At 50.3% G+C, this 20,937-nt stretch overlaps 1 protein-coding gene and 1 non-coding gene across 43 annotated transcripts in view, besides 2 other annotated features; both read left to right on the top strand.

Moving 5' to 3' along the window:
• DENND1A (DENN domain containing 1A) overlaps positions 1 to 20,937 on the top strand; it is a 550,469-nt gene that overhangs the window by 442,049 nt on the left and 87,483 nt on the right. The gene's annotated exons all lie outside the window — the stretch shown is intronic.
• On the top strand, positions 2,456 to 2,549 carry MIR7150 (microRNA 7150). Its single transcript, NR_106972.1, has one exon. It is a non-coding gene; the product is annotated as a microRNA 7150 (primary transcript).
• Positions 4,895 to 5,760: an enhancer, noted in NCBI's record as "OCT4-NANOG-H3K27ac-H3K4me1 hESC enhancer chr9:126244597-126245462 (GRCh37/hg19 assembly coordinates)". NCBI's record gives its function as "activates a minimal SCP1, AML or CMV promoter by ChIP-STARR-seq in naive H9 embryonic stem cells {active_cell/tissue: H9 hESC(naive)}" and the evidence as "EXISTENCE:reporter gene assay evidence [ECO:0000049][PMID:30033119]".
• Positions 17,514 to 17,808: an enhancer, noted in NCBI's record as "tiled region #10302; K562 Activating non-DNase unmatched - State 8:EnhW". NCBI's record gives its function as "activates a minimal TATA promoter and a strong SV40 promoter by Sharpr-MPRA in K562 cells {active_cell/tissue: K562}" and the evidence as "EXISTENCE:reporter gene assay evidence [ECO:0000049][PMID:27701403]".

Genomic DNA, 20,937 nt, shown 5'->3' with positions numbered 1-20,937 from the left:
GTGGCAGAGGCTGCCCCGTACCCAGCAGGAGGACACCCTGTGGGAGCTGCTGGCTGGATGTCTGTGGGTGCTCTGCCGCTGGTTCCGGGAAGGAGGCTTCAGGTCACATGGGAGGCAACACTGGCTGGGCCTTGAAGGAAGAGGAGGAGGCATTTGCCCAGCTCTGTGTTGGAAAGCAAATTAACCTCTGAGCCTCAGTTTCTTCATCTGTTCTTCACCTGTAAAATAGGGATAGTACATCAAACATAAGGGCTCCAGAAATATCAGCAGTCCCCTTTCAGCATGCTTGGTACTTACATTTAATGGGAACAAGTCTTTTGTTCCCCCAGCCCCCCTCTTTTTTTCAATTCTTTTAAAGCTGTTGATTCTGCAGGACATTGTGTATGTTTATATTTCTGTGGTCTCTGTTGTCCAGACTGGGAAAATGGTAGAAAAGATTCAAAGGGATCTCAGGAAAGACCTTTGAGAAACAGGGGTCTTTATAAGGAGCATGTGGGACAAGAAAGTGTCCACAGGACAATCGCATCCAGGAAAGCCATTTGGGGGCCATGCGCATTGGTCTGAGAGTAGCCTCAGGTTCTGCCGTATCTTTGCTCATGGTTCAGGGAGAAAACCAAGAACTGTGACCTTGGCTCGTAACTAAAAGACACAAGAGAGAAAACATTCTGAAGACCCTGCTCTAGTTACCAGCAATAATATTGGTGTGGAGGGGGCAGGTAAACAAACCTGCCAGCTGACTTGGGCCCTAGACTTGGTTAAACCCTGGCTTGCCTTCCCTTGATTGTAGATGGTAGAAGCCCAACTTAAACGAACTTGAGCAAAGAGGATAGGAGGGAGAATTTCTTGGCTTATATAACTGAGACATCCCGGACTTGTCTTGCTACCAGCATGGCTGGATCCAGGAGCTCAAATGATGTCTAGACTCTCAGTGACCTCTGTTTGGCTTTGCTTTTCATTATCTGTTTTATTTTCAAACATTCTCTTGCTTTGCTATAGAAATATGGGGGCCTCTATGGTCCTTCTAGCTTGAAGTGAGTCCCTCTCAACTCCAGTGTCTGTGCAGCAACTCTCAGTGGAGACTGCTCAAGTTAGTGTCGATCACTTCTGGGCTACCCTAAACTCATTGGTGTGACCAGAGGATGGAGTCCTCCAGTCGGCTCCCAGGGTCGCATGCCCACCCCTGTGGCTGGGCAGGGGGTTGGCAGGATCAGTCCCAATGGGAAAAGAGAGTTTTATTACCTATTCCCAGAGGAGTGTAAGAGGCAAATGTGTGGTCAATAGGAGGGTGGAGGGTGCCCAGAAGGTTGGGGGACCATGGAAGGTATGGGAACTAACATATGAGGTGGGGGTGAGGAGTTGGATATCAGGGATGGTTTCACCAAGGTGCTTGCACCAGCACTGGGCTCTAAGGACAAGGAAGATGATGCCAGCACACTCATGCTCAAGGCTTGCTGGCTGGACACATGCCATTTAGTTGGTGCCAACTTTCCAAGAGGCTCCTGTTGGCCATGGCTACAGGTTAGAAGATCAAAGGGGTGCTTTAGGGAGTGGGACTCATGGGGGATGCAGGAGCCAGCTGCTTCCTTCCTGGCCTCCCAGAAGTCTCGGTGTGTATCAAGCTGAGGCAGAAAGATTCCAGGGCTGGGCTAGCAGCTCTGGGGCTGGCGGCAGAGCCCAGAGCCAAGGTGACGCTGTCTGTGAACAGTGCAGAGATGCCCCACAGCGCTGGCATCTAAGAGCACAGTGTTCCGGGGGCGAGTCTCTGTTCCTGTAGCCTTGACCTGGGACACGTTGCCCTCTGACTAGCTCAAGTTCAGGGTGGGGCCTTCATTGGATTTACCTGCCCACTTGCCTGACATTCAGCCTCTCCCCATTTTTACTGAAATTTTAAACGTATTTATGATTGAGCTTCTTTTACAGAGGAGGAAATTAGGGCTCAGAGAGGTTGTGACTTGGCCAAAGCCACAGAACTGAGAAAAGTGACAATGCCAAAATCCATCGATCTCTTCTCTTCCCACCTGCTCCCATGCACCCCACCATGCAGCCAGTGATCTATGGCACCCGGGGTATGCCAGCCACTGAAGATCCAGGGGAATCAACCCCTTGTTCCCAAGTCACAGAGCCCATGGGCCAGGGAGATGGATTCAGAAAATGAAATCTGCTGCAGTGCTAGCTAAATGTTAGCAATGGCTAGAAAATCCAGAAGCCTAGGCATGAGAGTTTAGCCTCCGCATGTGGAGGCCAAAAACAGAGTCTTTGATCCATTCCTTATATCCAGGAAACTTTGTAAAACCAGCACATGCTCCTCAAAGGTGAGTGCAAACTGAGAGCAAAGCGTCTTCTTGGATGCTCAGGCTTCTTTCCCCGGCAGCTGACCCCACACTGCGTGTGTGTGTGTGTGTGTGTGTGTGTGTGTGTGTGCGCGCGCGCGCGTGTGTGTACGCGCACACACACACACGGTGTCCCCTGGTGGAACCTGGCAGGGGGAGAGGTAAGGTCTTTCAGCCTCTCCAAAGCCCATGGTCAGGTACTCAGGTGGGGGAGCCCTGCTCGCAGCCCCGAACCTGATCTGCTGGTGTTCAGCGGAGGAGATTACAGAGCTTAATGATTAGCTCCTCCAAGCTGCAGCTGATGCCAGCCCCTACCCCCTTTACACCTAATTACTCTCATTAATGAGCTCCTCTGCTCTCCATAGAGAGAGTTTCCTCTTTGGAATAAGAGGCAAAAATACCTTGCCCAGGTAGATTGCTGAAGCCTTTAATTATTGCCCACACCTGCTAAGCCTTGTGACTCACACCTAGTGATAGTGCGGAGCTGAAATGGAGCTTGTTTATAATCACGAGCAGATTTTAACTCTTTCAAAGCCAAAAAGCCTTCTGATTTCAAGAGACATGTTTCCCCAAGACCTCACACATGCTCATTTCATGCATGCACGCCAGGCTCTGCTCCCCCAACACTGGGGATCCTGAGGCAGCAGAAGTGCAGCTCCTGCCCTGAGGGAGTGCACAGTCTAGGAAGAGTGACAGGCTAGAAACTACACAGACAATTATAGTGGCTACCACTCACCACTTCCCTACATCAGGTCGCCTGTAGCCCTCGAAATAAAACTTTGAGGCAGATGTTACTACCTCCATGTTACAGAAGAGGGGAGGGGGCGCAGAGGGAGGATGTCACTTGCCCCAGGTGCCACAGCTAGGGAGGGTGTGAGGAGAGTGGGATCAGGTCTGCTGGGCTCCATGGCCAGTGTGCACCCCACTGTTGCCCAGAAGCTCCCTTGCATGCCAGACTGTACTGAGGGCCACAGTGAAGTCACTGCAGGACACGGTGAGGTTAGGAGGAAACAGGACTATGTGAGTAACAACAGAAGGAACAGGAGCAGAGGCTCAGGGGAGAACTGAATGCCTTGTGCATTCGTAGACCTGCAAGCACTCAGTGTGGCTAGAAGGTGCACTATGGGGTGCGGAGCAAGGGGCAACAAGGCAGGAAGGACAGGCAGGGGCCGGGGCAGGGTCCTAAATGCAGGGGAAAGACCCTGGACTTCCTATCCGCTGCACCCTCCCCAGTACCTCACAAAGCACCCAGTACATAGCAGGTCAGTACATGTTGATGAATGGAGGGACAGCCATGCTAAAGGCATGATAACCATTGAAGGATTTAAGCAGGGGAGGGACAGTACCAGAGGGCTGTCTGGAAGAATCTCTGGGCGGCTTACTCTCTGAACACTGAGATTCAAGGGCAAAGTCCTCACCACAGCCCTTTGCCCCAATCGAGAGGTCTGCGCTAGGCTGTCTAGTTGCTCAGTGTTAGAGGTGCGATTAAACCCAGATCTTTGTGTCTGCAAAAACCCAGCTCTGTCTCCTTCACCTTGTGTCCTGCTAGATAGAAGATAATATACTAAATGGCTTAGAACAGAAAGACAAGAGTTTCCCACCATGGCTGCTAGGATTCTGAATGAGAAACTTTCAGGATAGGAGCACAGGTTTCTAAAACACCAGAGCTGCTCAGACATAACCAAGTCCCTCTGACCAGATTTAGACAGATTGTTAGATGAATTGATGTAATATTTAATAGCATGTATGGCATGGCTCCGATGACCAGGAGACACTAACCCGTTTGCTACAAGTCCTAGGAGACTAAAAATCATTTTTAAAAAAACACAAAAAAAACTAAGCTGTGTCTCAAACAAAGAACAACAACCCACAACTGAGTCTCTCTTACACATCTGGCCTTGGGGCAGGTACTTTATGTGAAATCTGTCTGTGCCTCGCAGCAACTCTGGGAGGTAGATGGAATTATCCCCATCTTACAAACGAACTGACCTGTGACTTGGGGAGCTAAAGACTTCCCCACAGTCACATGGATAATGAGCGACAGAGCCAGGAGTCTCAGCCCAGCCTGTCCCACTGCAGAGCCGGAGCCACCCCAGGACACACTGTCCCTCAGAAGCTATCCATCACAAGACATCAGTCACCACACATGGAACCCGGAACAGACCCTGGCAGACTTGGTGTGTGCATGCGTCTGGTCAGCCCAGAGCTGGGGAACCCAGCAAGTGCTAGGCCTGGGAAGCCTGTGTGTTCTGGATAGAGACTGTCTGCACACAGAGGCTGGCCTGCAAGACCCAGGCTTTGCTCTGCTTGGGATTTGTCTCCTGAGTTCCTGGAGGCTGCCATGGTGGGGGTCATCTGGCAGCCAAGGGAGGACTGGAGCAGCAGCGGCGGCATGGCCCCCCAGCATCTCTGGACCACCATCGGCATGCCAGCCCCTGCTCTTGGGGTAGGGATTCCAAGGTACTGAAAACATAGTCCCTGCATGGGGCCTCTGCTGGACTCTTAGGAAGGAGGAGACCCTGGCGAGTACTACCTGGTCCTACTTGCCTCTCCAAAGCACTCAGTGTAGTAGGGGGAGGTGGTCAGTCGGCTAGATCCATCAACTCTTGCATCCAAGTCAACTCTTGTCTCCTAAAGCCTCTCTTGAATTCCTCCCTTTCCATTCCTGCCTGGCAGCTGCCTCAGTGGACACAGTGCTTCCTTGGCAGATCACTGGCCTCACTGAGATCAGAATGATCCTCTTGAAGTGCAAATATCTACACTCCCTTCCCCCAGCCACCCAAATTTTAGGGTTCCCTGTTGCTTTAGGACAACATGACCTAAAAAGACCTGCATGATCCATGCCCAGGCTTGGTTGGAGCCCCTCCCCCTCTGCTGTCCTGTTCCAGCCTCTCTCATTTCCCCTGGCACTCCTCCATCCCACAGAGGCCTGGGGCTTCTGCCCACCTTCCCCTCTGAGCACACAGGTTACTTTCCCAGGAATGCTTTCTGCAGCCTCCAGGTGTCTTCTTGGGACCTTGTTCTTTGTTCTCTGCACAGCAGGAACCTCTGCTTCAAGGCCATTGTCCCAGGGGGTAATTGTTCCTTTATGGGGCTGCTTGACTATCCTCAGGTAGCTGACTGTGATAGCTCCAGGGGCTGATACCCAGTAGGCTCTCAACAACTACTCACTGAATCAGTGAATGAAAGGCAAAAACAGCCACCCTTCCTCACAAATTTGGGAAAGGCTTCCCATAGGCAGAGACCTTTGAGTTGGGTCCTGAGTCCATGTTTGCCAGGCCAAGGGAATGATAGGCAAGAGGTATTTGATTTGACCATGTGTGTGTTTGTGTTAAAAAATAAAGATAATGGGCCGGGTGCGGTGGTTCACGCCTGTAATCCCAACACTTTGGGAGGCTGAGGTAGGCAGATCACTTGAGACTAGGAGTTCAAGACCAGCCTGGCCAACATCACAAAACCCTGACTCTACTAAAAATACAAAAGTTAGCCATTCATGGTGGTGCACACCTGTAATCCTAGCTACTTGGGAGGCTGAGGCACAAGAATCACTTGAACCTGGGAGGCAGAGGTTGCAGTGAACCAAGATCGCGCCACTGCGCTCCAGCCTGGGCAACAGAGCGAGACTCTGTCTGAAAAAGAATAAAGGCCGAGCACTGCCACTCATGCCTGTAATCCCAGCTCTTTGAGAGGCCGAGGCAGGTGGATCACTTGGTGCCAGGAGTTCGAGACCAGCCTGACCAACATGGCCAAATCCCATCTCTACTAAAAATACAAAAGAAAAAAAAATAGCCAGACATGGTGGCACACATCTGTAATCCCAGCTACTCAGGTAGCTGAGGCATGAGAATTGCCTGAACCTGGAAGGCAGAGGTTGCAGTGAGCAGAGATCACGCCACTGCACTCCAGCCTGGGCAACAGAGCAAGTCTCTGTCTCAAAAAAAAAAAAAAAAGAAAGAAAGAAAAAAGACAATATGCATATTGAATTACAGCTTTCCTAAAAGCTGACACCCCTTTTCTGAATAGGCATAAAGAAGCATAATCAAATTCAGCTCAAGTGTTCCCCCTCCAGGAAGTCTTCCCTGATCACCCCACCTGTAAATAGCAGGGGCAATGATGCCTACTGCAGACCTCTACTTAGTGACTAGCTGATGGCAGGTGGCTGGTAGGACCTGACCCCACCACTCCTTATTTGGGTTTCTTAATCTCTCAGAACCTCAGTTTCCTCACCTTTAAAATAGGAATAATGATAGCTGCTGGGCAAAGGCTGAGTGAAGGACGGCCTCTTCGGCAGCACCTGGCACAGGAGGGCCGTCTGTAAATGCACGCGTCCTTCCTGGTGCCTGGGCTTCCCTCACTGTTTCTTCCTCCCGCTCCCGCTTCCTTGTTTCCACGTGTTGCTATGCAGCCTCACTGTCCTGGTAGGTTTCTAGGTAGTTGCCATCCCCACCATTGCCACCTCCACCAACTAATAGCTGCTGTTTAGCTCACACATGCATATTTTAGCCTCATAATTTTTCTTCCTGAGTCGGCCTCTGCAGATTCTAATCACCTCACTTTCTCTTCCCTGAATTCCCTCCAATTTGGAGATTCAAAAGAGGCGCTTCTCTGCATGAACATGCTGTGATTCAAGTTGAAAATAAATTTCTGCTGGCAGCAGCCAGCTTTCTGAAAAGTGACATTTAAGACTGACAGTGGACAAGATTGTAAACAGGTTTCCAATAAGAAAAAAAAAGTCAGTGTGAAGTGCATTCTATGAATTTTTTTAAACAATGTGTGCGCATGTCTATAATTGCAGCCTTGCTGTGACGCCGTCTGCTTCAGGAAGAATTCTGGGACAGTGTATGTCTGTTTGAAACTATCTTGGTATCCTTTTACTTTTCGGAAAGCAGCTTCATTTCATGGGACTCACTCCCATACAAGAGTGTAGCGTATTCATTCATTCGACACACGTGTGTTCAGTGTGCCATTGTGTGCCAGGCTGTATGCTTGGTAAGGTCATGAAGACAGTTCCCTCCCTATCTGTAGAGAGTTCACATCCTCAAGGGGGAGGCTGGCGGATAAGCAGGTGACTTTTATTTAATAGGATAGAGGTAAGCTTAGAGTGCTATGGGACCCCAGAGGAAGACCCCAAGAGGGATGGCTATGGGGGCAGGGACAGCTTCCTGGAACTATGGCACCTGAGCATGGCTTGTAAGATGAGATGTTAGCCTAACAAAGAATGGAGGAAGAGGCATTCTATTCTAAGCAGAGGGAATACCGTGAGCAAAAGCAAAGAGGTTTGAAAGCACAGCGTATGGGAAGCTCCAGGCCTGTAGCAATGATTGAGACTTCTGGTTTGCAGGGCTAATGTCAAGAGGTGTGGCTGGAGGGGCCTTGGGGGGCTGGCACGCTAAGCTAAGAAGAGCCTTGAAGCCTCTCACAAGGGCAGTGCCGGGCTTCCGCAGGTGTGGCGTGAGCACATGTCCAGAGTGGTGCCTTGAGGAGGTCTCTCGGGAGTGTCGAGACACAGGGTTGGGTGGAGAGAGTCTGGAAGCAGGGGCCCTGGGAGGAGGCAATTGCCGCTGTCCAGGCAGAAGATGGGGAGGCCTGGGAACCCTCACAGAGTCAGATGGAGGGCTCAGGGGATAAGAACATTTAGAAAGTAAAATAGCCCATTGGCAGAAGGTCTGTTATTTTGTATTTCTCCCAAAACAACCTTGTTCATGAGTACCTCAGATTATCAGCTCCTACTTCGGTAGGGGAGTCTGCCCTGACACTAGGGAATATGTTGCTAGTTAAATGAATTCAGCTGACATTTGCCTTCCCCATTCATCATGACTAAATGAAAGCTCTTTTCTGAGTTTCTTGGAATGGTCTTTTGACAGTCCCCTGGCCAGAACCACAAATCACCCTGCAGTTAGCGTCTAAAGGAAGCAAGAAGCAAGAGGCTCCCAATGTGTAATACCACCAAAGCAAGTGGAAGATTCGTTTGATCCTTGTAGGGGGTTTTTGCCAAAAGGCGTTTGGGGTCCTGCAGGGGCAGACAGGCCAAGTGGGCAGACAGGGAAAGGCATGGCACTATCTAGTCAAAACTCTGGCATCCAGATGCTCTCTTGGGGCCACTTCTCTTTCCGCCCAACTAACCAGTCCCTACGTGTTTCAGTAGCCGTGGGACAGAGGGGAGCAGAGGGCTGGGCAAACAACCTGTCACTTCAGACCTCACAGGTCAAACGGGCTGAAAACTACAGGAATTCCAGGCTATCTTTCAGGGCTGTGTGCAGGTTAAATGAGGTAGTGATTGGGAAGCCACCTGAAAAGCCGAAAGGTTTCCCAAATGAAAAGAATTTCAACAGCAGCCATCCATTTCCCAGCTTTCTAAGACAGTCTGATGAGAAGCAGGGCTGAAAAGCATGGCTATAATGGAGTTCAGGAGTGATCCTGGGATGTCAGTTTCCTTGTAGCTCCTCTCATCAAGAGCAAATGAGAGGCGATCATGTTGGTGACCTTTTGAAAGGTGGCAGGTGACAGAGGAAAGAACCCAGACTTTAGACTCAGACATGTCTCACGTGAACCTGGCCCCAACTGCTTGTCATGAGGACTTGGGCAAGTTGCCTGGCTTTTCAGAGCATTATTTCCAGATCTGTGAAAAGATGGTAGATGCCTTACCATGCCTGTCACATATTTATTTCCTTGTTTATGTGACCTCCCCACCCTCTCTGAGAGGAGAGACCTTGGCTGGTTTATTCATTACCATTCTGGTGCTTAAGCAGTGCCTAGCCTGTAATAGGTGTACAATAAATAGTTTGGTTTTCATTTATCACTCACTTTTAATACCTCCCTGTCACTGCATCAGCAGTAAACTGGATTAACACGAAGTCTCATTTGGTGTCAGTTGTGGAATAACACAGTCAGCTACCACTCGCATCCCTTGAGGTTCTGGCTCTTCATGTCCCCTTGTGGATCTTCCCCAACATTTTATTATAAAAATTTACAAACATACCGAAAAGTGGAAAGAATTTTATGGTGAATACCTGCATACCTACCATCTAGGTTGTACCATTAACATTTTACTAGACTTCCTTTATCCCATATCTGTCCATCTGTGCATCTATCAATGCATCTCATTTTTCTTGCATTTCTGAGTAAGTCACAGACATCAGTACACTTTACCGTAAACCATTCAGCATGTCTATCAGTAACTAGAGTAAATACTGTTTGAACGTGAGTAGCAGGCACTCAGTAAATGTTCACTGCTATTTTGGTTATTGGAAAGGAGGGAGGGAAACTCATGGCAATTCAGTCTTCCCAAAATGAGACACCTGCTAGCCAGTGTTGGGAATGGCCACCATTTCCCAGGAACCAGACTGCTGTTATTTCACAGGCTAGCCTCGGGCAGGGAAATGGCTGGGAGTGACAGCTACCATGGTGCCCCCAGGCACAGACTTCGGCCCTATGCCCTGGACGCTTATTCCCCTAACAACCGCCAAAAGCCTTTTGAAGACTTAATAATGTGACTGGAACAAGGGAGGTTGGGATTCTCATGGTGGATTTCTGCAGAGCACAGTTGAGTTTGGTTATCTGGGTTCAGTCCGTGTCAGGTCCTACTTGTCCAGATGCAGTCCCAACCCTCTTTTCTCGGCATTGCCTATCTCAGAAGGGACACGGGGATTAGGAGATCATAAATCCAGGTTCTAGAAACTCAGAATCTGGGACCCTGACCAGCAAATGCCTTGGCCTTGCCTAGGACTGGTATTTTCCACATGTCCCAGTGAAGAGCCCAGGGATGAACAGACCCCTCTGAGAACTTGCACTTTTCCAAGAACCACGTGGAGCCATCATCTCAATTCATGTGTTCACGTTCTATCAACAAATACCATTGAGCACCCTTGCCTTTGAAGTTAACAACCTTGGGAGAAACTGAGGCAGTCCCCGAGCAGGATTTGGAAAGCAATTTCATTTAAAAGGGGCTGGAGGGAGGGGGGAGGCACTCGTGTTCATTTAATCTTTTTTTTTTTAATTATTTTTTTTTAAGTTCCACGGTACATGTACAGGATGTGTTTGTTACATAGGTAAACGTGTGCCATGGTGGTTTGCTGCACCTTTCAACACATCACCTAGGTATTAAGCCCAGCATGCATTGGCTCTTTTCCCTAATGCTATCCCCCAGCCACCACCCTCCCCCGACAGGCCCCAGAGTGTGTTGTTCCCCTCACTGTGTCCATGTTACGTCACCCAGGCTGGTGGAGTGCAGTGGCATGATCACAGCTCACTGCAGCCTTAACCTCACGGGCTCAAGTGATACCCTGCCTCAGCCTCCCAAGTAGCTGGAACTACAGGGGCATGCTATCACACCCAGCTAATTAAAAAAAAAAAAAAAATTTATAGAGATGGGATCTCACTCTGTTGCCCAGGTTGGTCTCAAACTCCTGGCTTAAAGCAATTCTCCCGCCTTGGCCCAAAGCAATCTTGCCTTGGCCTCCCAACGCACTGGGATCACAGGCGTGAGCCACTGTACCTGGCATATTTAATCTACACCCATCTTCTGGAGCAGGAATTTGCTCTCACGTCCCATTAGGTTGCAGCAGGAGATAAAGGAGCAAGCCAGGCTTGGCCTCAAATTCCAGTCTCTTCACTCACTATTGAAATGACCTTCAGCTGCTCATGGAATACCCTGCCCTCAGTTTCTTCATCTGAAAATGGAGAGTAGTGAGACCAGCTTCCTTGGGATGTAGTAAGATAGAGCCTGTGCCAAGGGGCCTAATGGTTTCATTGACATATTGACCACCTACCCTGGAAGGTTCTATCTGGGGCATTGGGGATGCAGCCATGAGGAAGAGAAGTAGAGCCACCGCCCTCTTATGCTACCGTCTGGGTCAGGCACGGAACCAAGCATGACCACCTCGGTTTAAATCCTGCCCATGTGAATCTAGAGAAGTTATGTGGCTCAGTTTCCCAATTGTAAAGTGGACACAGCAACAATATCTAACTCATGGGTGGTTACGAGAATTAAATGAGTGAATACATGTAAAACACCTAGAAGGGTACCTGGCACATGGTAAGAGCATACAAGTGTCTGTTACCCTTGTACTACTAGACCACCACCACTACCGCCTCCCACACCTCGTTCCCAAATGCGTTAGAATCATCTGAGCAACTTTGTGAAGGTCTAACCCATGGCCCAGGAACGGGCATTGAAAAGAACCTCCTAGGGGAATCTCTATGTGCTGCTGGCTGTAGGAACCACTGATCAGGTGACCAACAAATGTTGGGTTCCAAAACACAGGTACAGAAGCTGAAACTCACAGGGAAGGAGCATGCTCAGGAAGACACAGCTAGGAAGTGCTAGAACTAGAACACCATGGAAGGCTGGAGACTCCCACATCCAGGCTCTTGGGTAGACACTTGCCCAAGATCAGTCAGCCCAGCCTGCTGGGCCTTAAACCAAATCTGGGTTCTCCACACCATCGTGACCCCTTTATCAGCTGGAGGAGATCATCTCTCATATACGGAAATCCCTGTATCTCAATATTAAGACACTTACCAAATATTGTAACCAGGAATCTCCCGAACATTTTTTTTTTTTTTGAGATGTGGTCCCTCTCTGTCACCCAGGCTGTAGTGCAATCGTGCGATCTCAGCTCACTGTAGCCTCCACCTCCCAAGTTCAAGCATTCTTCTGCCTCAGCCTCCAAAGTAGCTGGGATTACAGGAGTACACCACCACGCCCAGCTAATTTTTGTACTTCTGGTAGGGGACAGGGTTTCACCATATTGGCCAGGCTGGTCTTGAACTCCTGACCTCAAGTGATCTGCCCGCCTTGGCCTCCCAAAGTGCTGGGATTCCAGGCATGAGCCACCATGCCCAGCCCACCCAAACATTTAAACTCCCTGAAGGAGGCGTATAAGAAGCTGTCCCCCCAGATGATCACCTCACCTACATACGTATATGGAGGAGTATGCATGCCACTCTGGCATTCTATCTGGGCAACTCTTATAATTAATATTTACTTAAAACAATCATTAGTCTCTGTTGGGCGACACGAAGCCCACGTTAGCAATATTTTTAGCCAGGCCTTCCCCACACCTGCGATGGCAGGCGAGTGTGCAGCAGCGGGAACCCCCACAGTGCTTTATAAATAAGCCTCTGCCTGCACCTGGACCACTCAGGCAGCAGGCCAGGGGGGCCTCGGATGGGGTCCCAATGTGCACTCAGAGCAGCCCGCGCTTCAGTGGGTGTCCACACTTTGCTTTTCTTTCCAAACACTAAAAATGCAACTCTGTCCCTCGACACAGTGTGGCATCTACCCCAGGCTAGACCTGCCGAAAAGGTATGATTTTTCCTGAAGTGGTTGAGGATTTCTTCAGTAAGGGAGAGGGGGATCATAATAACCGTTTATCGGATGCTATTAATAACTTATTTATGTTCGTTGTTTCTTTTAAACCACGCAACAGGCCAGATGCGGTGGTTCATGCCTGTAACCCCAGCACTTTGGGAGGCCGAGGTGGGCGGATCACTTGAGGCCAGGAGTTCGAGGCCAGCTTGGCCAACATGACAAAACCCTGTCTCTACTAAAAATACAAAAATTAGCCGGGCGTGTTGGCGGGCGCCTGTAATTCCAGCTACTCAGGAGACTGAGGCAGGAGAACCACTTGAACCCAGGAGGCAGAGGCTGCAGTGAGCTGAGATCGGGCCACTGCACTCCACCTGGGCAACAGAGCAAGACTCTGTCTCAAAAAAAAATAAATTAATTAAAAAACCCACACAGCGGTGTGACAAAGTAGGTCCTATTTTTATCCTGCTTTCCCAGAAAAGGAAACTGAGGCTCGGAAAAGATGAGTGCCTCCCCAAGGTCATGCAGTGAGCAAGTGAGATTCTAACCTAGGCTGGCTGAACCCATGCTTTTCACTGTCCTCTTCCTCAGCCTCAGCCTTTTTTTATTCCATTAAAGGAACAGGGTGAAGGTATATGCTAGGCAGTTTACATACATTGCCCCAGTTACTTCTCACAACTGGAATAAGCTCATGGGAGCTAAGAACAATGATTCCCATTTTACAGAGGAAGAAACCAAGGCTCTAGAGAGTTTGAAGTCACTTGCTCACCATCACACTGCTATTAAGCTTAACAGCCAGAATTCAAAACCAGCCTGATCCTCCAACACCAGACAGTTTCCCACCTTATCAAAGGCATTAATGAGAGACATTTGCCATACATGTGGGTAACAAAGCATCACTTTATATAGACCCTAGGATTTTCTCATTTTCCTACTGCGCTGCATGAGCTTTTTGCTTAAAATATTTGAGCTTTTTGCTTAAAAATTTTTGCTTAAAATTTTAAACTTTTTGCTTAAAAATTTTTATCCCAGTCAAAAACTGCCACGGTAATAACAGCTGATGTTTATAGAGAGTTTTATAATTGTCAGGGTTCTTCTGTAATTATTTGATCCTTAAAATAATGCTGTGAAAGTAAATGTTACAGGCTGGGCAAGGTGGCTCACGCCTGTAATCCCAACACTTTGGGAGGCCGAGGCGGGTGGATCACTTGATGTCAGGAATTCGAGACCAGCCTGACTAACATTGTGAAACCCCATCTCTACTAAAAATACAAAAATTAGCTCGGCATGGTGGTGCATGCCTGTAATCCCAGCTACTCAGGAGGCTGAGGCAGGAGAATTACTTGAACCCAGGAGGCAGAGGTTGCGGTCAGCCAAGATTACACCATTGCACTCCAGCCTGGGAGACAGAGCGAGACTCCATCTCAAAAAAAAAAAAAAAAAAAAAAAAAAGAAAGAAAGTAAACGTTACCCCATTTTACAGAGCGGAACCCTGAGCTTGGAGAGGCTGAGTGCAAACCCATGGCCAATACCAGCAGAGCAGAAGCTCAGCCACCGAAGCCTGCGTCCTCCCCATACTGGGCGCAGTGTTGCTCCAAGGCCTGGATCTCTTAGATGGGGCCTAAACGGAGATTTAGGGACTTTTAGTGGAGAAAGAGACTGGGATGGGAAGCCAGCAGGGGAGCCTGGCCCTGGAGGACCCCCTCATTATAGGTGGTGACATCTCACCAGAGGAACAGGCCGAAAGTTGTGGTGGTCAGAGAACTACAAAAATAGCAGCCCTCATACTGCTTCCTACACAAGAGGAACGGGTGGTTCCAGGGCAGATAAGAATGACTTTACAAGATGAAAATGATCAGTGAGGGCACACAGGTCTGGAGAGGAGCGGAGTTGGCATTTTTTGGCCCTGCAAATAGCTGCCCATCTGCTCTCTGTCAGAATATGTTAGGGGTGCATCTGGATTGCTGCCCCTGAGTCTCGGCTCCAGGCTGGTCATGTGGTTGTCTCCACGACAACTCCAGGAGCGGTGTAAACGGCTGCGCTTGGAGCCAGATGCTGCTCTGCACATGTGGTCTAATTAAACGGTGTTCCCTGTCTCCCTCCGCCCTCCCCTGCCCCTCCCAGCACACACATACATTCTCTCTTTTCCATCCCTCCCTGCACCCCTCCTCCTTACATCCTCAGTCAGCCTGTCTGGCTCTCCACCCTGTGTGCCTCTTCTTCAGAAATGTTCCTGTTGCCTGATTTGCAGTAGAATAATTCATGCAACAAGCATCAGAGCGCTTGCTCTGACCCAGGCATGGGGCTAGAAGCTGGAGGTGCAGAGGCGAGTCAGACACGGCCTGCCCCTGAGGAGGTCACCATCTAGTAAGGATCTGACCGGCAGCCAGGCAATGTAATGCATGGCAATAAATGCTACAGCAGAGGTGAGCGTAGGGCTGCAGAGCCCAGAGGAGGGACACTGACCCAGCCCCGGGCAAGGAGGAAGCATCCCAGGGCAGCTTGCCCTGGGTTAATCCTCCAAGGGTGAAGGGCAAGGGGGACTCCCCAGCCTGAGTGGCCTCCCCACAGAGGGCCCAGCACACACAAAGGCAGGAGACTTACAGACCTACCTGGAGAACCGTGGCTGGCCCCGTGTTATGGGAATGCAGGAAGTTTGGGGAATGAGGAGCCGCGGTGGGCGGGGTGGGCAGGGTCACACCTTGGGGGGCTTCTCCCCAACTCCATACTCTGCTTGCTTCTGCAGGCACTGAAAGCCAAGGAAATGGGAGCAACTCAGTGGCTGCCTGAGGGGGACAAGGGGCCCTGAGTGAATGAAGCCTCCTGGGCATGTTTCCCTCGATGCAGTCCTGCCCTGGACACTCGAGGCACTGTTCAGGGCTGGGCGGGGTGTACCGGACATGCTGAGGAGCTATATTTTTGTGTGTATTTTGAGGGTCTGGCACCCACCACATCTCAGATCTCTGGCTCTCAAGAAAGATGCCCCCAAATGAGGAAGAGGGGAACCAGCAACTCCCTTGCTCACCCTGTCCATGACGTGCCCGCCAGCCCCAGTGACACAGCTCCTCGCTGTGAACCGCCGGCTGGCTGCCCCACCAGGCCCTCCACCTGCTTCCCAGTTAGGGAGCACTTGCTTCTTCCTGGTCCTTGGTTTTTATGCCTCCCCCTCCCCCAGTGGCCTTTCTTGGACCCCACCCCACCTGGACAGAGTCACCTCAGTCACCCATATTTGTGGAATGACAGGTACAGAAGGCCCCATCCAAGACATGATGCCCAGCTCACAAAGGGCATCTCAAAAGAGCCACAAAGGACGTTGATCTCCCCTGAGCACCTGCTGTGTGCTCCAAAGTACGGGCAGCTTGACACACACCATATCACCTTAAACCTCACAATAGGAAGTAGGTAGTTTCCCCAATTTATAGCTGAGGCAACTGAGCTCAGGGAAATTCACTTGCTTCCCCATTTCTTCAGAGCCCCTGGGCGGTACAGAATCCCCATCCAGAGATTCTGGATTCCTCGGTCTGGGACTGCAGCTGCAGAACATGGAAAAGGACATTTTTGTGTAGAAAATCGTCTGACATATCTTGGATTTCCTAGAAGCCCAGGGGAAAACTGTGTTTGGGTAACTGAGCGTGCTCAGAGCTCGGGGGTGTCGTGGGAGGAGCCTGGACTTTGGGGTCAGAGAACTGACTTCAAGTGCGACTATGGTTCTTCAGCTCTGTGGCCTTGGTCAAGTCACAGCTCCTTCCTCTCTAAGATGAGGCTCAAGAGCCTGTCTTTGTAGGGTTCTTACGAGAAGTCAACGTGCAGCCACAGAGAGTTGCCATGTCCTGCGGCGTCCCAGCCCTAGCAGGCAGCTTCGTGGAGGTTCCTTTTCTTCTTGCTGTACGTTGCGGTCTCGCCTCCACTGCCCTGTCACATGTCCTGCACAGGTAGCGCGTGTCACATGCACTGAAATGGGGCTGCTTGAGTACAATCACTTGCCATCTGCTTTGGGCAGGAAACCATCCTAATTTGGGGTGGAAAACAGATCCTTTCTTAGCCCCTCCGCTAAGAGTCAAGCCCCCCACTAGGCACTTTCCATGCCTCGATTGTCAATCCCCACACAGCCCTGTGAAGTAGGAAGTAGCTCCCCCATTCGGCAGATGAGAAGGTGGTCTCTGAGGGGTTAGGGACTTGCCCCACGTTCCAGACATGTTAAGTGGCAGAGCCTGCATTCCCACGCAGTGTCTTTCACTGTTCCCGACTCTCCCATCATGCACTGTGCATCGTGACACATTTCTCTATGAGAGGTTGTGGCAGACCTCGTAAAGAAAAGCCTTTTCTATATCTAGAAACAACACATTCACATTAGAAAGCACCTTGGAGACTTTCCAAGCTTCCCATTTTACGGAGGAAGAAACCGAGGCCTAGGCAAGGAAAAGGAATCCAGACCAAGTCAGGCATTTGACTCCCCTGGCGCTCTTTCCAGTTCCTGATGCTGCCACGTGCTCACGACTAGAAACTTCCTACCGAAGTCTCCTGTGTACCAGGCCCGTTTCAACACCAGAGACTCAGCCCTGCATGAGTGACGTTCGGAGGAGGAGTGATAATAAATAAGGGAGTCATGGGGCTAATAAATAATTCTGACAATTAATCATGTGGACAGTGCCACAGAGCACCCCCCAGAGGACTGTGTCACCAAGCGATGGGTGGGCAGCACACCTTCAGGGGGGCCTGTCTCCTCAGTTAGGGGGTTAGGGCTTTTCATTTGTGGAGACGAATTTGTGCCTCTTCTGTTTTATCACCATGTCCTTTTTTACCTTGAGATCCATGAGTCTCATATTCCCATTGCTGCAGCTACATGGGTTCTGCGGCTGATTGCGTTTCAGATAGATTCTGTTGCTCTAGGGGCCTATCAGGTCCCTGACACGTGTCCTCTCTCCAGTGCACTTCCTCAAACCGTGTTCTCCTCACTAGGGAAACAGAAATCTCTAATCAGCTTGGCGCTTCCTTTCTTGGGACTTTGGATGCAAGTGTCATTGTGTTGAAACCGGGAATCTGGCCCCTGGTGAGAGTGAGGCAACCCCTGGCGCTGGCCACGTGGTTGAGCCAGCAGGTGTTTGAGGTTGAGATTTCAGTGGGCCCCCATTTGGTTTCTGTGCTAGGGAGAGAGCTGTAGCTCTGCGGCAGCACAGGGGTCGTCACCGTCTCACTCATGTCAGCTCTCACCTTGCGCCACCGCTGCACTGTGGACTCACCCTATGTAATGGGGTTGAATGCCTAGAGCATGACATAGCTATTACCTCTATTGTATCTGTAAGAAACAGAGGCTCCAAGAGCCGAGATGGCTACAGCAGGCATAGAGTGCAGCCAAAACCCACTTCATTTCTCCAAAGCCCTTTCTGTTCAACATCACCTTAGAATCCCTGTCTGAATTGCTACTAGGGCAGCCCTGAGTGGCCATTGATATGTCAAATACAATCTTGTGATTACCTCTCTTAATCAAACATAAATAATATTGTGCTGCATGAGCCCCAGGGCCAGACAGACTTCGTTTCAAACTCTGGCCCTGTCATTGCCCAGTTCTTCACCCTCAGGCAAGTGACGTCCCCTTTCAGAGCCTTGATTTCCTTATCTGTAAAATGGAGATCATCATCCTACCTACCTCACGCGATGCTGTGAGGAGTAAGTGAGCTAATGCATGTAAAACCACCCAGTGCTGGTTTAGGGCTCAGCAAGCGGTAGCTGTTTTTAATCACTGCACCTGCTTTCCTCTTAGAGCCGATTCCCATCTGCATTTCTTATGGGAAGAAAATCTTACGCTAGTATGCATGAATACCACCTTCATTGTGTCTCCTTAGCTTCCACAGGCCTCCCAGCTCATCTGCCGTTCCTGCACTAATCAGAATTTCCTGACTTCTCCCTGTTTGTCTCGGTTAATGCAGAAGGAAGGGGCTGCTGGCACAGAGGAGCCGAGGCGTGGGCCGACACGCCTGTGATTTGAATGTCTTTACTGTAATCTAGCAAGCGCGTGTGGGGGCTTCTGTCAATACCAGAGCGGCCGGCCAGAATGGGCAAATACTGGCAGCCCGGCCATGCCTGCCCCTGCAAATCATCAGAGTAGCTCTGGGCTGACACCCACATTTCCCCTAACTTAAATCATCTGAACAGTGAGCTGGCTTCACGATGAGACATTGATTCTTTGTTTAGGGCTTGTTATAGTGACAGGGGCCCAGACTGGGAGTCTATTTCTGACATGCCTCGGCCACCGTGCAAATGGTTCAGAAAGCTGCCTTGGTCCTGTCACCCCAAAATGTGGCATGTCCCCACCCAGCCCAGCCAGAGTCATCTGACTATAGCCATGCAGTGACCCACCTTCCCAAGTCCACCTGATGGTCCTGGGATCCCTGGTAACCCAGGCCCTCTGAGGGCAGGGAAGGAGTGTGTGTGGGCTCAGGGGTCATTAGACCATGAGCCCTGGGACCTTAGGCAATGTGCTTCACCTGTATGGGCATCCCTTCCTTATCCATGAAGTGGAAATCATTTCAGAAGATCTCCCTTCTGGCGAGGATTTGGTGAGTGAAGGATGCAGGTCATCTGGTCCCAAACAGGAGCTCAGCAGACCTTGGCTGCCTTCTCCTCACACTCACGCCAGTGTCTGGCTAACCTGAAGTCATTGTCATCTAAGCCTGCTGTCCCCACTCTCTCAGCTTTCTGGTAAACAAGGTCTTGGCATTCTTTAGGCCAGACACCACACTAGCTTTTTCCATGTTGGCCGGGACCTCACCCTGGCTCCTTGGCAGCTGCCACAGCTGACCCTGTAAGAAGAAGCCGTCAGACCAGCACAGCGTTCTCCTCCCAGCTCTGGGAGGGATGCTGAGGCCCCAGCAGGGAATTTGGAGGCATTTAAACAAAATGCAACTGAGATGGGACTGCTGGTGAGAAATAGGGCCAAATTCCCCAGCTTGCTTTATTCTTAAGTTTTTAAAAAGGACTGTCAAGTGGGTCCAGGCTCTGTGCTGGTCACTTTCACCTGTACCAGGGGTTGTCCGCCTTAGCTGCACTGGAGTCAGTTGGGGAATTTCAAAATCTGTGACTCTGGCATTGGGGATTAAAATAACCCAGGTAATTCTGGTGAATAGCCAAGGATGAGATCTGTGAACCTCCACCATCTCATTCATCCCTGCTTAATCCCCCAGCAGTCCCCGGAGGCAGGTAGCTCTACCCACATTACATGTGACAAGAATGAGGATCTAAGAGGTGTAGTCACTTCCCCAGGGTGGCACCAAGAGCAGCAAGGAGCAGAGCTGAGAGTGGAACCCCCCAATCTGCCACTTCTCAGAGTGACCATGAATCAGAGCCTGCCTTCTAGGAACTTGCAGTGTGCTGGGGACAGTCCACCTGGGTACAGGTGGTGGTTGGTGGAGACATTTAGTGGGAAATGAGGTCCTCTTCATCTGAATGATTCAAGTAAGGTTTCCCCAAGGAAGTACCATGAAGAAGGCAGCCAGGAGTGAGAGTGCACAAAATGCTCAGGGTGTGGTGGACAGCCCAGAACCTCTGCAGGAGGAGATGTGTGTGTGAGTGAGGTGGACAGGGTGTCATAAGCAAGAAAGGCAGCTGGAGAAGGTCACTTAGAGCCTTGAGTGTCATGCTCAGGAACCAGGCTGGCCCCACCTGCATGGACCTGTGCAGTCACACAGGGCCCCAGGCTTGGCTTAATGCTCTGCTGTCACCGTCCTGAAATTCCTAACATTTTTACCTTTGAACTGGTGTGGGGATGTTTTGTTTGTTTTGTTTCAAGACGGAGTTTCTCTCTTGTTGCCCACGCTGGAGTGCAGTGGCGCGATCTCGGCTCACTGCAACCTCTGCCTTCTGATTTCAAGCGATTCTCCTGCCTCAGCCTCCTGAGTAGCTGGGATTACAGGCGCCCGCCAATATGCCTGGCTAATTTTTTGTATTTTTAGTAGAGATGGGGCTTCACCATGTTGGCCAGGATGGTCTCCATCTCTTGACCTCGTGAGCCACCCACCTCAGCCTCCCAAAGTGCTGGGATTACAGGCGTGAGCCACCACACCAGGCCTGAACTGGTGTTTTATAAATGGGACAGTAGAGTAAGGACATTGGCAAAGGAGACACGCACAGAACATGTGTCTCCATGGGGCCTCGCCATCCCAACCCCATACAATTTTCTAGTGCCTGCAGCACCAAATTCCAGTGGACCCAGGATGTGGGGACATTCAGCAGGACTCTACGTGCTCACAAAGTAAACATGTCCATGTCTGACAGCCCCAAGAGGCCACACTTTCCATTAGA

This window comes from Homo sapiens, chromosome 9 (genome assembly GCF_000001405.40).
Source record: "Homo sapiens chromosome 9, GRCh38.p14 Primary Assembly".
NCBI classification, from domain to species: domain Eukaryota; kingdom Metazoa; phylum Chordata; class Mammalia; order Primates; family Hominidae; genus Homo; species Homo sapiens.
The sequence above is the reverse complement of the archived record's forward strand: the minus strand, read 5'-3'. Positions and strand labels throughout refer to the sequence as shown.